Consider the following 18,438-nt stretch of genomic DNA (forward strand, 5'->3'; position numbering starts at 1 on the left):
TAAAATACCTACCATAGAAACAACTTAATGCTTTACTAGAAACATTTACATTTATTTAAACAGCAGATAATATTTTAAGTAAACATGTATGTGAGTTAAGTAAACATGCAAAATATGACATGCTTACTGCTTATGTTCTTTCACATTTATTCTTTTATAATTCATGAGTTATAAACAACAATGAACTTCATTACTAGGCAGATGTGTGTTTGAATCCTGATATTAAGAGAATTGAAGCTCAAGTACTTCAACGATATAATGTTAAGTTTAATGTACAAAAATACAGTTATTGTATGAACTAAAAATAGGTTTCCTTAAATATAAATATCTGTTAAAGGGCTTAAAAAGAGTCTAATACATAATACATATTTCAGTCACGTTAACTATTATTGTTAAACTATTTTTAAGTTGTATCAATTTATCTTTTCACTTGAAAAAGGATTTCCATAGGAACTATAATTGTCATTAGAACTTAAATATTTTTTCTAAACAATATTTATTAAATGCAAAACATAAATCATATAAAATAAAAATATAAATGTAATTTTCAGATGTATTTAGATGAGTAATAAACATTGTTAAATAGCTGTATATCAACAACTCATGCGTTTATTCTTCTGATCAATTTAAATTTTATTTGTTGAATATTTATTATGTGCCAGACACTAACATAAGCATCTAGAATACATCAGGAATCCAAACTGACAAAGAGTTTTGCCTTCACGGTGCTTTTATTCTAGTGTTCAATAATAAAATTCATTAATAATAAAGTTTGCACTATATTAGAGGATGATAATTGCAATGAGAAAAATTAGAGCACTACAAAAGGGAATGAGAGATCTTCAAGCGAGTTGCTGTTTGTCAGAGTAGACCATACTAAGAAGTTAATATTTGAGCAAAAGAGGTAGTCATGTACCTCTCTGGAAGAAGAGCATTTCAGGCAGAGGCCAGATTGCATAAAAGAACTTAGATGGGAGTGCATGTAACATATTCTGGAAATAGTTTTTAGGTCAATTTGGTTAGAATAAAGAGAAAATGAAAGACGTGAGACCAAAACAGTAATGACAGGGGTGAATGGTGGTAAGCTTCCAGATCATATATGACCTTGTAGGCCACTGTGAGGACTTGACTTGTACTCACATTGAAATGAAAAGCCTTTGGAAGATTTTGGTTTTAGCAGGACATGGGTGGACTTAGTTTTTAAAGGATCACTGTAAGTGTTATGTTGAACATTTCAGTAGGAGAGGTGCTAAGACAGGAATGTACCAACTCATTTGGGGACTATTACAGTAATCTGGGAAAGAGATAAGAAGCAAAGAGCAGGAAGGTAATGCATACATGATGATTAATGTTGAGAAACTGACTACCCTTTATCAGTAGAGCCAAACTTCCTGATGGATAGTGTGAGGGAGTCAAGGATGAAGACAACATTTGTAATTGGTTAATAGCAAGAATACAGTTGACAGTAACTGAGATAGTTGTGAACGGAGAAAGGGAAGGGGGATATGAGTCAAATTTTCAAAACACAAAGTTTGAAATATCTGTTAGATGCCCAAGTAGGATTTCAAAATAGGTAGTGAGATCTAGAAATCTGGATTTGAGGAACTAGTTTGGGGATTTATAAATGTTGTTTTAAGCCATAAATTTGGATGAGATCACACACAAAAAAGAGTAAATTGAATGAATAAATTGTGGCTTATTTACTTAATGCAATATTAGTCATCTATATAACAATGACTTCTTATGTATACAAAAACATGGAAGACTGTAAAAAAAGTATACTAAGCAAAGAAAGCAAGCAAAAAAGACTAGAACATTAAAAAATAATTTATTGTGACTGAAAAGAAAGCAGTTGTTGCCTAGGGCTGGGAGTGAGGATTTGACTGGCAAAAAACATAAAAGAACTTTGTAGTTTGATAGAAATGCTCCATCTCTTTGTTTTATTTCTGATTATATGAGTAGATACATTTTCAAAACAAATCAAACATAATATGAATGTATTTTATGTGTTTTAAAATACTAAGGAAGTACATTTCAAAGAAATTGATATTTTGAAATATAAAACAAAACCTTAGAAAAGAAAAACTACATAATACATAAAATCTCAATACATGAGATATTTTGAAAAATATAAATGTATTTTTATTTCTATATATTATTATATTGATTATATTATGCTTTTATATCTTATGTTAAACTTGGCTACCTCTGGAAATTATTACTTAATGCTAGGAAATTTTCCTTAAAAATCAATGGATTTTTGGCATTATTATTTGATTTCTTGGCACATTCTGAAATACTCAAATAAATATTTTATCATTATATTTACCAATCAAAAAATAAAATAAATTCACTCATAAAAATGGTACATCAGTAGGTTGAATGATCTTTTTTCTGAATTAAATGTTTTTCACCCATCCAAGTTATGTTTGCATTTTAAGGATACAAATTATAAAGGAAACATTACTTCGGTAATAACAAGGCACTCAAACGTTTTAATAAAGATACTGTTTCATTTATTTAGCAAATTTCTGAATATTTGGGCAAAAATTTTACTATTTCTAATTACAGATAATTAACCTAAAGCTCAGATAATTAAAAGTAGTGACAAGATAAATAAAATTAATGATAGAAGTCTGATCTCCTTTGAGAAAATACTCTTATTGTAAAACTACACAAATATACATGAAGCCATAATCCTATAATCATATGCATTTGATTAGGGTCTATTGCTTGACATGAAGCACTCTTAAGGAAATTATATATTTTTCAAAATTTCTATGACCTAATATAACAAAGTAGTCCATTTTAATTATCCTTTTATACAAATTCAAGAATATAGTTATACATATTCATGACGGCAGTATTAAAATATTCAATGTAATTAACACAAAAGTATTATATATATTTAAATGACTTAATTAATAGAATAGAAATTACTTGATAATACCGAAAATTATATACCTTTGTTTTCACATCTGTCATGCTGCAATAAAGCGTATCAGACTGTTCCTCCCAGTATAAAACCAAAAATTGGGTGAAGTATTTTCAGGCCTAAATTAAGCATGATCCTTGAGAATACGGATCATGGATCCATGAATTCACTCTTACAGTTTATCTACATTTAATTCTGGAATTAGTTTCTCAATTGCAATATAAGGATGTAGCACAGACGTTCTTGTGCACAAGGTGTGTAAAGGCAGAGATGAACATCAGAGCTATTGAAATAGCTAGAATTTAGTGAGCAGGAAAACAGAAAGGTGTCTGCCATGTAAAAGAAGTGAGGTCCAGAAATTTCAGTGGGATTTTCTTATGTATCACTGAATAAGGCTTGCTATGCATACACACAGGACAGGACTCAACAAGACTTACAGGAAAGGAAAATAGCTGAGAGGCTGAATGAAGATGTTAGTTATGCAATCCTAGGGCACATTGTATTTCAGGCCAGACAGGGTAAGAGAGCTTCCTAAGTATTTCAAGCATTCAGTTGAGTCTGAAGAAGGTTTATACTTTAAAAATAAGGGCCACACCCTAGAGTAAGGATCATGTCTTAGAAGTAGAGACAAAACTAAAACGGACTCACTCAAACAAAGAATAAAAGTAATCCTGGGATCCAAGAAAATCATCAGTAGTTTTTCTGAGTGCTAGAAAAAGCAAATCAACATTATTTAAAGAGATAAATCCAGAATCTAGGCAATTTATAATGTATCATCCATGTTTAACATGAAATCAAATTGTTACCAGGCATTTTTTGAATCAGGAAATGTAGCTCATAATCAGAAGAAAAAGCCATCAATAGAAACACAGACTTAACCACGACAGAGATGCTGAAGTTGAAATTATCACGCCTGGATTTAAAAATCGCTATCATGAAACTGATGACATAAATTTAAAAGGTAATATAATTAGTTAACAGATAGATAATTTCAGCAGAGTAATTGAGCTATGAGATAAATGAAAATTCTAAAACTGGAAAGTACAAAATTTGAAATAAGGTATTCCCTGGATGTGTTTAATAGTGGATTAGAGCTTGCAAAAGAATGGGTCATTGAACTTGAAGACAGATCAATAAACCTTATTGATATGAAGAACAGAGATAAACAAAAAGCAAAAAAAGAATAAGTTTCAATAACCCATGGGACAATATTGAGTTATCTAACATATATAACGTATATGTATTAATAGAGCTCCAGAAGAAGAGAATAGGATAGAATAATTATTATTTAAAAATTTAATAATCATGATACAAGAAAAGAATAATTGATAAACTAGACTTAATTAAAATTAAAAACTTCTGATTTGGAAAGGCAATGTCAAGAGAAAGAGAAGACAAGCCACAGACTGGGAGAAAATATTTTCAAAAGACACATTTGAGAAAACTGCTACCAAAATATATGAAGAACACTTAAATCTCAGCAAGAAAAAAAGTTAATATGCCAAAGATATTAATGGAACCCATATCAAAGAAGATAAATAGATGTCAAATAAGCATGTGAAAAAATTCTCCGTATCTTATGTCATGAAGAATATGAAAATTAAAACAAGATACCACCAAAGACCTATTAGAATGGCCTGAATCCCAAATACTGACAGTAGCAAATGCTGACGAGGATACAGAGCAATGGGAACTCTTATTCATTGGTGGTAAGAGTAACAAATGATACATCCACTTTGGAAAACAGTTTGGCAGTTTCTTACAAAATTTAACATATACTCTTACCATGATTATATGAGTATATGATTCAGCAATTTTACCCTTTGGTATTTACCCAAAGGAGCTGAAAATTAACTATGTTCACACAAAATCCTGCACATAAGTATTTATAGTAGTTTGATTTATAATTGCCAAAACTTGGATGTGCCCAAGATGTCCTTCAGTAGGTGAATTGATTAGCAGACTGGTACCTCAGACAATGGAATGCAGTGTCCAAAAGAAATGTGTTAGAAAGCCTGAAAAGACATGTAAGAAATTTAAACACATATAAGCCAATCTGAAAAGGCTATATAATGTATGATTCCAACTATATGACATCCTTGAAAAGACAAAACTATGCATGCAGTAAAAAGATCAGTGACTTGAAGAGGTTGGGGGAAAGGAGAGATCAATAGGTAGATCACAGAGGATTTTTAGGGCGTGGAAAATACTCTGTATAATACTATGATGAATGAATATGAACACATGTCATTATATATTTGTGAAAGCCCCCAGAATGTAAAACACCAAGAGTAAACCCTAAAGTAACCTATGAATTTTGTGTGACTATGATGTGTCACTGTAGGTTCATCAATTTTAGGAAATTTACCACTCTGGAGGAGAATTTTGATAATATAAGAGCTTATGCCTTTGTAAGTGAAGGGGTGTATGGGAAATTTATACCTTACAATTTTGCTGTGAACTTAAAATAGCTCTAAAAATAGGTTTAAAGCAAAAACTAACAGCCACAAATGTTTTAAATTTAGTGAAAAGTATTAAACTGCACAACCAAGAAACTCAGTGAACCTCAAGCAGGATAAACATATTTTTTAAAAAACACACACCAAGGCTTATCATAGTCTAACTGCTGAACATCGAAGATCTTAAGACAACTTCTGTGATCAGAAGAGGAAATTATAACAAAGAAACTACTGAGAAAGTATGATACAAATAATGACTGTCTTCTCATCAAAAACAACATAGGCCAAAAGGCAATGGATCGTTCAGTGTTGAAGAGGGGGAGAGAAACTATCAATCCCAAATGATATATTCATTCAAAATATCCTACAGAAAGAAAATGGAGTAAAAATATTTTAAGATAAATGAAAGAAAAAAATTATATATGTATACATACCTATATACATACCAATACACATATATACATACATACATGTGCATATTTGTGAAATATACGTATATATAAATGAAAAACTTTTTTTTTTTTTTTTTTTTTTTTGCGTGTGTGTATTTGTATTTGTGCAAAGGCAGCCATACTACCAGAAATACTAAAGAGAGTTCTTCAGGTCAATAGGCAGTAACTTCAGATGGAAATTAAAAGCATTGTAAATGGGAAATATGTAAGTAAAGATAAAATATTTCATCTTCTGTCTTTTTAAATACAATGATTGTTGATATAAATAATTTAGCATTTTATTTTGGAATTTACAATGTATGAGAAGTTGAATACCTAGTAAGAACAGATCAAGGGATGGGGTGGTAAATAAACTTATGGTGTTATAAGGTTTTTACATTTTACATGAAATAATGCATCATTAATTTTATGTTGAACTTTGTTAAGTTATAGATATATACTGTCATCCTTAGGCCAACTACAAAAATATATATCTACAGGTGTAGCTAAAATGCAAATAGTGGGAGTAAAACAGAATTTTAAAAATCATTTAAAAATTATTTAATTAAAAAGAAGGCTAGAAATTAGGAATAGAAAAATAAAACTGATAGAAAAACAGAAAAAATTCAATATTAGATTAATCAATATGTTATGTCAAAAGTTATATTTACTTTAAACTCTCCAATTCAATGGGAGGTTAAGAGGACAAAATAGGTATGTAAAGAATTGCACTTGAATATAAAGACACAGATACAACAAAATAAAAAGAGTAGAAAAAATTGTACCATGCGACCACATTAGAAGAAGTCTGGTTTGGTGATATTTATACTACACTAACTAGACTACAAGTCAGAGTAATACCATAGGCAGAGAGGAATTTCTTGCAATACAGAAGGGTGAATTAATTAAGAAGACTTACATCCTGTAACAGAGTTTTAAAATATTTGAATTAATTAAGAAGACTTACATCCCGTAACAGTTTAAAAATATTTGAAGTAAAAATGGACAAAATTTGTATAAGAAATATATACAAAAGCATAATCATGTTGGATAATATAATACTCCTCTGTTAGTAATTGATAAAATAACTAGATAAATCATTAACTAAAAACATAGAAGATTAAGTCAATTAGCACACTTGGTATAATTGACATTATGTAATAGTACACTCCCAAAACACTAAAGGCATATGAAATGCCTAGTAGGATAGATCATATGCCAACCCTTAATATAAATCTCAAAATTTTTCAAACATTGAAATTTGTACATTTCATCTTATGTGAATAAAAGGGAATACCATTAGCAATCATAAACAACAAAATATCAGTAAAAATCCCTACATGTTTTCAATTTAAACAGTACACTTCTAAATGATACATGTGTCAAAGAATGGATCACAAAGAAAATCTTAAAATACATTTTTTCACACTGAAAAATTAAAAAATATATACATCAAAATGTGTGGAGTTGACATGAAGCAGTGATTAGAAAAATATATGACTGTAAACGCTTTTCTAATGGAAAGAAGAAAGGTTAAAATCAAGTATCTAGCTTTTCAACTTTAGAAGCTAAACAACTTCAAGCAAATTTAGGTAATTGATAAATTCCTAGAAAGTCAGAACAAGAAAAAAAAAAGACAACACAAATGGGCCAAAAATTTGAAAAGACATTTCACAAGAAGAGTTTTTTACAATTGATCAATAAGCAAACAGAATGTGCTCAGCGCCTGAAGCCATTAGGAAAATGCAAATTAAAACAACAAGATTATTCATTCTGATGTAAAGTTATAAAGACAGATAACCACATATATTGGCAAGAATAAGGAAGGACTGAACATTTCGTACAATACTGATTGGATTAAAAAACATTTTAAATGTCTCTTTGGCATTTCTCATATATTTGAAAATATAGTTACTCCATGACCCAGCAATTCTATTCCTATATTCTTAAGAGGTATGATAATGTCTGCCAACAAAAGTCTTGTACAGTAACACTTGTATGTAGTTTTATTCATAATAGCTAAAATCTGGAAACAATCTCAAATCTACTAAGAGTAGAATGAATAAACCAATTGTAACATGTCTATTAAATATAACAAAACAATAAATAAATAACTTTTGGTACATGCAACAACACAGATCATTCTCAAAATAATATTCTAAGGAAAAGAAGCCAGTCACAAAATAATACAGTATTCTATTCCATTTATAGGCAGAAGAATATTAAACAGAACTGAATTAGACTAATAAAAATAAAACAAGGCTTGCTCATGAGGAGTTGACTGAAAGAGTCAAAAATAAATTTACATGGTGATGGAGTACAATGTGTTCTATATATTTTGAGTGGAGCCTTGTAATGCTTTTGTCAAATCTCTTCAAATTGTATTCATTGGTGCAGTCTGCTTTATATATATATTTATCATAATGTAAAAAAATAAAATGCATATTTTGTTATATCATTATGTAAATATATTACATATATTATATTTATATATTATATAATGTATGAAGAAGAATGATGGGTGACTGCAGCTGCATTGCCTCTACTCCACCTCTACATACAAGGACTCAGCTAACCAGACCAAAAAAGCCTTGTTTTTACCATTGTTCAGGGAGAAACTGCTTTGGGAACTATCCCAGTGTCCTCCTTATTTGATACAAGTAATAAAATCCTCATGCTAAATACTTCTTGGTTGAGGTCATTGGATTGTCAATCGCCAAGTGATCAAAGCCCACATTGTGTAACAATTTCTGTACAATAAGTTATTTTAAGAGAGAGAGAGAGATCACATTAACATACCTTTTATTACAGTATATTGTTATAATTGTTCCTTTTTATTATTATTGTTTTAATCTTACTGTGCTTAATTTCTAAATTAAAATTTATTACAGATATATATCTATATATATATATAGGAAAAACAGTGTGTGTGTGTGTGTGTGTGTGTGTGTGTGTGTGTGTGTGTGTGTGTGTGTATATATATATATATATATATATATATATATGTCCTACTATATACATATAGGACTTGGGGCTATCTAGGATTTCAGGCAGCCACTGAGGGTTTTGGACAGTATGCCCCGTACATGAGAGACTTCTGTTGTTTTTTTATATGTCCTTCTTTCATTACCATAAGATTCTCTTTAGAAATAAAATCCAAATTAAAAATAAGTCTGTGACTATTACAGTTAACCATAGTTAACCTACAGTTTTCAAAAAATTAAGTTGCTCTTTACTCGTAAATGAGATACTCTATTTAAAGACATTTATTTTTGTATGTTTCAGGAGTAACTGATAAGTTACTAAGGTTTTCTAAAATGTCAGTATTTTACAAAAGGTTAAATGAAAACTAAATCAAATATGGCTTGGGCACTAAACAAATTTGGCTCTCCTTTCAGACATTTAAAACAGTATTATAAAATAAACCACCTTTAAAATCAATAATATTAATATTAGGATTTCAAGCATATCCATTTTATATTCAGGGAGTTATTTGTCTCGAATATTCAATATTTACATAAAATTACTCTAAGTTTCATTGATTGAAATCTAATTTAATAAGCAATTTTAAATTATTAACATTTAATTGTCAATAACTATATTTAAACATAATAGTTTCATTGAAGACAATGCGGGAAAAATGCCTATTCTTAAAACATTGACCTAATTATTTCATTTTCTTCATTATTTAATCTTTGACAAGTGTTTCTTGTCTTAACGTCTTTACTAGATATAAAAAATGGAGTTGTGGATGTCACGTTTTGTGACAAGATTGCTAAACATCCATTATCAATAGACTCTAAAAAGATTAAAATTGGCATATCTAGAAAACTGATACTTTGGTGTCTAATTTTGTTTTGATAAAGTATTTAATATTATACTGCCCATCATGTTAATATTGAAGATCTAAATATGGTAGATAATTTGAAAGCACTCAGTGTCAATGTTATGTCACCTACCAATTACTACATATTGAAAGAAAAATGAATGACATACATTCTTTTAAAATACATTCAATATGAAGATTCATTTTTGATGGTAACTTTAGCATGTATTTTTCCTTTCTTTAGTTGATAGTATGGCAGGAAGTAATTGTGATTTATAAAATAGGCTATCAAAATTACATCCCAAAGTTCTCACCAAATAACTGAGCCACAATTTAGTTCAAATTTTTTCATCTTTCTAGACATAGCTTTGTGTTTCTTGTGAATTTTGATTCCATTAGCATTATGAATATTGAAAAATAATTTATTAGAAAAGTGACTATACAAATATTACTCTGGTAATCTACATTTATCATTTACCTAGCATATAATTCAATATAACGATGTAATTTTAACATGCCTGTTTATTTTACCTTTCTTGACCAATAAACACATTCTGAAACAAACAATAACTAAATTGTGTTAGTCTGGTGTCAAATGAGAAACTAAAAGAAATAGCTCAGAGTTTTAAATTTAATTTTGACTATGATGTCTGTGAGTGTGTGTTTTATTATGCTTAGAAATCGCAGAGCTTTTTGAGTATGTATATTTTGTCTTTCAATAATTTTAGATTATTATCTATTTTGTTTTTACTCAAATAAAATTTTTGCCCATTTTTTTCTGTCTCTTCTTCAACTTTCAGCTATATGCATGCTTTATCATTAGGTATCATCCAATAGCTCTTGTATGCCATAAATCAACTTTGTTCAATTTCTTTTCATGTTTCATTTTGGCTTGAATAATTTTTATGTACCTGTCTTCTGATTTTCCTATTATCTTTTTCAGATGTTTAAATTTTCTATTACATCCAAAGAAACAATTTATCATATTCAGTATCATAATATCATGTGTTTTTAATTTCTATCAATTTGATTTTTTAAATTGTATTTCTGCTGAAATATCTCACCTGTTCATGCATATTGCCCACATGTTTCCTAACATACTGACCATAGTAAATTTAAACCCCCTATGTGATAACTCTAACACTAACCTGGGCCATTTCTGAATTGGATTTTGTTAGTTGCTTTATTTCAGGAAAATTGGTTATGTTTTCTTGCTTTTTTGTGTCATATACATTTTTTCTTTAATATTGAATGCGTGACATTGAGGCAAAGGAACAAGGTAGAGCAAGAACACTATGGCAAGAATATTCCTGGTGCATTTGGAATATGTAGAAGGATTGTATACATAGAATGACTGGGAGAAGGAGAGAGAACAATACAATTCAGAGATATCATAGGAGCTGCGGTTATTTGGAATTTTGAAGGTCATTTTTGGGAACTTGATTTTTATTATCCTAGAAGTTGTGAGATGCTTTGGAGAGTTTTCAGTTTGAGGTGACTGTTGGGCACTCAAGTACATATGCAAGGCAATCAAGCCAGGAAAATCTCATTTTGAGGCAATGATCTTCTTAGATACTACAAAAGTGACTTTTGTCCTGAACTTCAAGACTTAGAGGGCGACATGTCTTGCTCCTCTGACTATTCAATTTCCCTTATTGCATATATTTTGTGCAGTCAAGGGTTCATGGTCACCTGGAATCCCTAAAGCTCTTTTTAAACCTTGCTTCACTTTTTTAGCATGCCAGAATATTCTGCTTAAATGTCCCAGGCATTCTTACAAGGCGTGTGTGGGTCTTTTCCTGAGTCTAAACTTCAGAGAACATCCAAGTGATAACTGTTTTCAGGGTGATAGATGGAGTTTAGAGTTCCACTGAGGTGTATTCAGACACATGTATGTGAAGCCTTTTTTAGCATGGGAAGAAACCAGTAGTGGAGCGATATGGTGGTGTGTCACAGGCTAGGGGCTATGCCCCAAATTCTCATATTGCTATTATAAATCATTCCAAGATGTTTAAACTCAAATTTGGCCATTCATGTTTTCTGTAGTTAAATATGCCACACTATGCCATTACAACAAGTTTTATTTAAGAATTTATTATCTTAAAGTTGGAAAAAAGTTTAATATCTTAATTTTGTAATGGTATAATTTAAAATAGGCAATTGATATTTGAACCTTCACATGTAGTTTTGTAGCATACTAAATGTTAGAGGAGAGCCTGTTTGGGAGTCATTGGCCTATAGATGTTATTTAAAGCCAGAAGTCTTGAAGAAATTACAAAAGCAAAGAATAAAGATAGAGAATAAAATGTACCAAGACTGAAGCCCTAAAGCTGCTCCTACATTAAAAAATTAACGAGAAGAAATAGGACTTGAAGCACAACCAGAGAATAAACTTTTGGTGAGGTAGAATTAAAATTAGGCTATGAGGCCATGTATAGCAAACATATCAAAGAAAAAAGAAGGAATGATCAAATATGTCAAATGCTTCTGATAGGACAAAGAAGACAAAGACTCCACCTTGACCATTGCATCTAGGTACCTGGCCATCACCAGTAAAGTAGATGAGAGCATTGTTCATGGTATAAGGGTAGAAAAATAATTTGGAAAGTCCGAATATAATACCCTAATATATTGAAATATGGACTGATAAAAATTGGCAAAAGTTGTATAATTTTTTGTCTAGTAGTATGCATATATATGATATAGATATCAAAAATAATTATGCCTGCAAAGAAACTCAAACAGCTACCTGCAAGAGATTAAAAAAATACTCTTTCTCTTTCCTAGAGTAGAAAATCTTTGCATTATATAAAATGACAGATGACAAACTCAATCAATTCTAAAAATGATAAAGTTTGGTTGTATATTGTAACATAATGAAAACGTTGATATGGTTAAATTTTGTGTCCCCACCCAAATCTCATATTGAATTTTTATCCCCAGGTGTTGAGGAAGAGACCTGGTAGGAGGTGACTGGATCATGGCAGGGTAGTTTTCCTCATGCTGTTCACATGATATTGAGTGAGTTCTCACAAGATCTGATGGCTTTATAAGCATCTGGCATTTCCCGTTTGCACTTCTCTTTCCTGCCACCATGTGAAGGTCTTTACTTCTCATTTGCCTTCTGGTCATGATTGTAGGTTTCCTGAGGCTTCATTAGCCATGCATAACTGTGAGTAAATTAAACCTCTTTCTTTTATAAATTACCCAATCTCAGGTATGTCTTCATTGCTGTGGGAGAATGGACTAATGCAAACGTGTCTTCAGAACACTGTATTTTGGGACTCAATCCAATTTGGTTTATATCCCTATCGTTATGTATTTGTAAAATTAAATGTTAAAGCTACCCAGGCCTGGAGTTCGTTGCTTGAAAGGTTTTTATTTAAAAATTTAATTTCTAAAATTGACATAGAACTTTTAGGCTTTTCTATTTCTTTTTATATCCGTTTTCCTAAGTAGTGTTTTTAAAATAATTTTGCAATTTCACTTAGATGTTTAAATTTGTTAACATAAAATTTATACTGTTCTTTTTATCTTTTTCAATATGATCTGTAATGTGTTTATTTTTTCTCTTTAATCATATTGGTGGGGTTTTTCTTTTTAATTGTTCTCACTTAGGTTTATAAATATTAATATTCTTTGCAAATAACATTTATTGAAACTCATTGTAAACGTGTTCTATTTCATTAACTTTAGCTCTAAATATTAGCTCCGTTATTATTGTTAATTCTAATATTTCAGTTAAGTTTAGTACATACATGTAGCCTTTTAGTCAGATAGATATTTGCAGGAGTTTCTCCATGACCCCATACCTGTTTCATTGTCCAGATCTGTGTTATATTTCTGCCTGTTCTACTAGTCTTTTACCATCCTGACTAGCAACTGAGTACCTGGCCTTCTCCATTCATTTTCCACTAAAACTACCACTGTCACTGAAAATGCATCAGGGCGTGGAGTTGTTTCAGCTCCATCTGAAATCACATTAGCCCATTCAGTCAGCAAGCGTCTGGTTTTCACAGCTTGTCTTGCCCTGGTAAAACTACTGTGTGGACTGAACTGTTGGGAGAGAACAGCGGCAGCCCTCGGCCATAAATTCACGGACCTCCGCTGTTCTTACCCAAGGTTTAACTGTTTCTATGAATAAATTCTTCTTATTTTGCTGGAATCTTTCATTGATTTCCAGAGCCCTGAAATTGAAACCTTTCAAATTTTTATACACTTAAAATTATTTTAGATGAACATTTTTAGCAAGCTCCTCCTCTGCCATAATGTGATTCCTGCTCCCAAGTGCTCACATTTTAAAGTACAGGCTACATCTATTTATCAGCAAACAAGGAGAGACAGAAAACCACAAGGAGAGCACAAATACCCCTTCATTTACCCATCCACAAGACTCAGAAGAAATCCTGTGAAGTAGGTTGCATTTCCAAAGGTAACATGGGATTTAGGTTTAAAGTTTTACTTGGATCTTAAAGGAAAGAATAATCCCAAAGGCCTAGAAATTTTGGAAATGTTTAGGTTACACAAAGGTAGTAATTTACTCAAGTTGGGTAATTGACCGCATGTCTTCAAAGAGAACCAGTATCTATATTAATGTGTATGTGACTTCAGAGTCCTTTTTCTTAATCTCTAAAGTTAAAAATTATGTGAATGCAGTAGTGTAATCATTGTTACTAGCTTTAAATCATTTTATGACACCCAGTATTTCCATGATATAGTAGTTATTTTATATTTCGATGTGCAAAATTTCTTTAAGATTCTCTCAAACTTGTATTACTACTCCAATATTACATATTTATATTAATTACAATTTTAAAATTACAATTTTAAGATTAAGAGGAATTAGTCATTCAAATGATCACACTACTAGAAAAAATCATACTCTTATCCTTAGACAAGCCCTTATGAAATTTTATTGAAAGAGCATTCTCGGCCAGGCTTGGTGGCTCACACCTGTAATCCCAACACTTTGTGAGAGGCTGAGGTGGGCAGATCACTTGAGCCCACTGAGGTGGGAGGATCACTTGAGGTGGGCGGATCAGTTTGAGACCAGACTGGCCTACATGGTGAAACCCCATCATTACGAATAATACAAAAATAAGCCTGCGTGGTGGTATGTGCCCGTAATCCTAGCTATTTGGGAGGCTGAGGCAAGAGAATTGCTTGAACTGGGAGGCAGATTGCAGTGAGCAGAGATTGTGCCACTGCACTCCAGCCTGGGCAACAGGGCAAAACTCTGTCTCAAAAAAAAAAAAAAAAAAAAAAAAAGAAAGCATGCTCAATATGTTTTTGGTTTAGCCTAGTAAGTGTTTGATTACAAATATCAATTTATTTTAATAAATAAATATTCACATTTTCATTGTAGCAATATCTTACATTTTAGGTTGTCAAAATTTATATATACACATGCATGCACACAACCATGAACACATCCTACTCAAAATTTTATCCACACTAAATTCTAGAAATATTATCATCTGGCATCATAATTAAAATGTAAACTACTCTAATGTTAAGAAAAATAGAATTCTGGGAGGAAAGTTGAAGTTGGTGAGGTTGAAGGTTACAAGTAATGGTTTCTGATGGAAATTGCTCACTGGAAAGTACTCAAGTCCCCTTTGTTGGCTAATTCTCTGAGTAGCTATCAAGAACATTTGCCACTGGCCAAAACACAGTCAAAAGACAGATGAAAGTGATTGAAAGATAGTTTAAATAGAATAACTCTCATGCTCCAGCAGAAGAAAAGTGATCTTAGACACTAAACCAGTGATTCTTCAAAGACTTATTGCCTTTGAATCAAAATAAAAATCAGTTAAGCATATTTATGAACTATCCAGAAATATATAACGTATCCAATAGCTTATGTTCCATTTGAAATTAACCCTTGAGACCACTAGTCATCTAGAGGTTATACATTATTTACTTTATATCATCCCTAAAGTACCTCTGTGTTAGAGAAGGATAAAATAACAATAGTGTAGGCTATATTTACATTGCTTATCAAACAAGATTTGAATTTGTTGTATTGAATATTTTGTTTTAAGCTTCTTTGTGGTTTGTCATTTCTGTTGCTTCTCCCTTTTCCCCCATTCAATTAAAATTTAATGTGCTTTGATTGATTTTTTCATCCAAAATCAATTCTCAACTATAATTCAATTATCCAACATCATTGTGAGAAATCATTATTATAAGAAATAAATTTAAAATTCTACTTCGAAGACATAAAATGAGCTAAATCAAGGTCTTCTAAGAATGAAACCCTTAAAGCAACATGCCAAGTATATTGGGCAGCTGATCAGAGCTTGAATGAAGAAGGACCCAAGGCATTACACTAGTACTCATTCTTTTTCAAATAAAATAATCAATTTAATATATATTTGGAAATGATCAAAAGAGAGAAGGATGTTGTTTCCAGTAAAATATATATTATCTGAACTCTGCAGTTGATTCCAAATTCAAATGAATCGTAAGTGATGAACAGGAGACTATGAGACAGAGCTTTTCAACAATCCATAGAAAAATCCATTATAGTTGCTGTTAATTGTTTTGGTATACGGTTTCTTCATGTTTCTATTTTAAAAGCGTATTTTCTTTGGTTTAAAATCAAGTATGAAAACCTGCTTTTAAACCACAAGATTATTCTATTTATTTTCATTTGATTATTCATTTATTTATTTTTGTTGGCAGAATTTGAAATTTTATAATAACCTTCTGTTTATGTAACAACCTCAGATAAAAGGGAACTTTAGTTCCTATGATAAAATTTAAATAAACACCACTAGTTTCTAAGGAAATAATTATAAATAAGTGGTATCAGGGAAAGAGTTTATGTCTATATTTTCATTTAAGTTATGAGAATAAGTAAGCAGTTAACACAAGCAAAAATGTTCACTGTATGTATAAAGTATTTGTTCATTTAGCTATAACATATTTACTTATGCTTTCTACCCTGTGATATAATTTTGAATTATCTTTCTTATAATTTCCCAGTATTTTAACATTAATGACTGTGTAAATTAATAGGTAGAATGATATTAATTTTCCTACTAATAATATTATTCTCTTTTACCAAAGTAGAATATGGCTTTGTGGTAGCTATTTAGAGAAATATTTGCATATCTTGCTTTGTTAAAATAATAACTTTGTTTCTAGTTATTATGGTACTCTAAAATGTCTGATTATCTTAAAAACATCACAGAATGGCTAGAGGTTTTTCTTTTAATGTAGCAGATTTATATCCAATTTAAATGCTTAGTATGTATTAAACTATTTCTTAAATGCATCAATCTGTAAAAAATTATGCATTAGGTAAATAATATACAAATTTTCTTTGTAGGTCAAGTTATTTATTTGTGTCCTCAGATGAATTTTCTGTTCTTTGCACTTCATATTTTTAAATCCATGTCTAATAAATACGTATAATATGTCGATTTATGTTTTCTACTGTTCAATGCAAAATATTTTCAAATGTGCCTTTTGAAGATACTGCAGACACCTAGTACTCAAAAAATTATAAAGGGATGCATTTAGAGAAAAAATAAAACTTTTAAAGCTATAAATATGTATTTAACATTTACTAGAGAGAAAACATTCTGAGAATATGTTCTAATTCAGGGAAATTCCTATTATAATAAATATCATGAGGAATTGAAATGCTTTTGTTGTGCAGAATTTTGTATTAGCAACTTCTTTGTGACACGTTCGGGTCATTTTCTCAGGAAGTGCAACCAAATACAGCTGGGGTTTTGTCTCCTAATTTCTGTGTCCCAGTGGTTCAGAGCATGTAGTTAATTAAAAATATGTGGAAATAAAAAAAAATTCTACACAATAGTAGCATACCATTGGGAGAGGCTAGTGAGGCAGAAATGTGATTATTTTTGATATTGTTTAGAATTATTTATACATAGAGATAGTAATAACTGACTGATGTTGCCTACATACAGGTGGACCATTCACTCCCAGTATCTTTGGACATATAGCCCTAGAATGTTGCTCATATCCAGTTTGAAAGAGATAATGCCACAGAGTGTGCCAATGAGTTACTAGCCCTACCTGGCACAGCTTTATACCCACCACGGCATTCCCAATAACACCATACCTCCCTGAGCTTACCTCATTCAATAATCATGATATTGGTGGTACTGAGAGGTGACAGCGTGCTGGCAGTCCTCACAGCCCTCGCTCGCTCTTGGCGCCTCCTCTGCCTGGGCTCCCACTTTGGCGGCACTTGAGGAACCCTTCAGCCTGCCGCTGCACTGTGGGAGCCCCTTTCCGGGCTGGCCAAGGCCGGAGCCGGCTCCCTCAGCTTGTGGGCAGGTGTGGAGGGAGAGGCGCGAGCGGAAACCGGGGCTGCGCGCGGTGCTTGCGGGCCGGCGCGAGTTCCGGTGGGCGTGAGCTGGGCGGGCCCCGCACTGGGAGCGGCTGGCCGGCACCGCCCGCCAGGCAGTGAGGGGCTTAGCACCTGGGCCAGCGTTGCTGTGCTCAATCTCTTGCCGGGCTTTAGCTGCCTTCCCGCGGGGCAGGGCTCGGGACAGGCAGCCTGCCATGCCTGAGACTCCCCGCCCCTCCCTGGGCTCCTGTGCGGCCCGAGACTCCCCGACGAGCACCGCCCCCTGCTCCAGGGCGCCCAGTCCCATCGACCACCCAAGGGCTGAGGAGTGCGGGCGCATGGCGCGGGACTGGCAGGCAGCTCCACCTGCAGCCCCTGTGCGGGATCCACTGGGTAAAGCTAGCTGGGCTCCTGAGTCTGGTGGGGACTTGGAGAACCTTTATGTCTAGCTAAAGGAC

General features: G+C 32.2%; 1 long non-coding RNA gene across 2 annotated transcripts in view; it reads right to left on the reverse strand.

The window, feature by feature from the left end:
• LOC105370214 (uncharacterized) overlaps positions 1 to 17,989 on the reverse strand; it is a 477,307-nt gene extending 459,318 nt beyond the window's left edge. The window contains exon 1 of one of the 2 annotated variants that reach the window (XR_941977.3): positions 17,764 to 17,989. This is a non-coding gene — a long non-coding RNA (uncharacterized LOC105370214). The remainder of the gene's footprint in view (positions 1 to 17,763) is intronic. The other variant, XR_941978.2, reaches the window with a different exon arrangement.
• Between the last annotated feature and the right edge of the window lie 449 nt (positions 17,990 to 18,438).

This window comes from Homo sapiens, chromosome 13, assembly GCF_000001405.40.
Source record: "Homo sapiens chromosome 13, GRCh38.p14 Primary Assembly".
In the NCBI taxonomy this organism is placed as follows: Eukaryota; Metazoa; Chordata; class Mammalia; order Primates; family Hominidae; genus Homo; species Homo sapiens.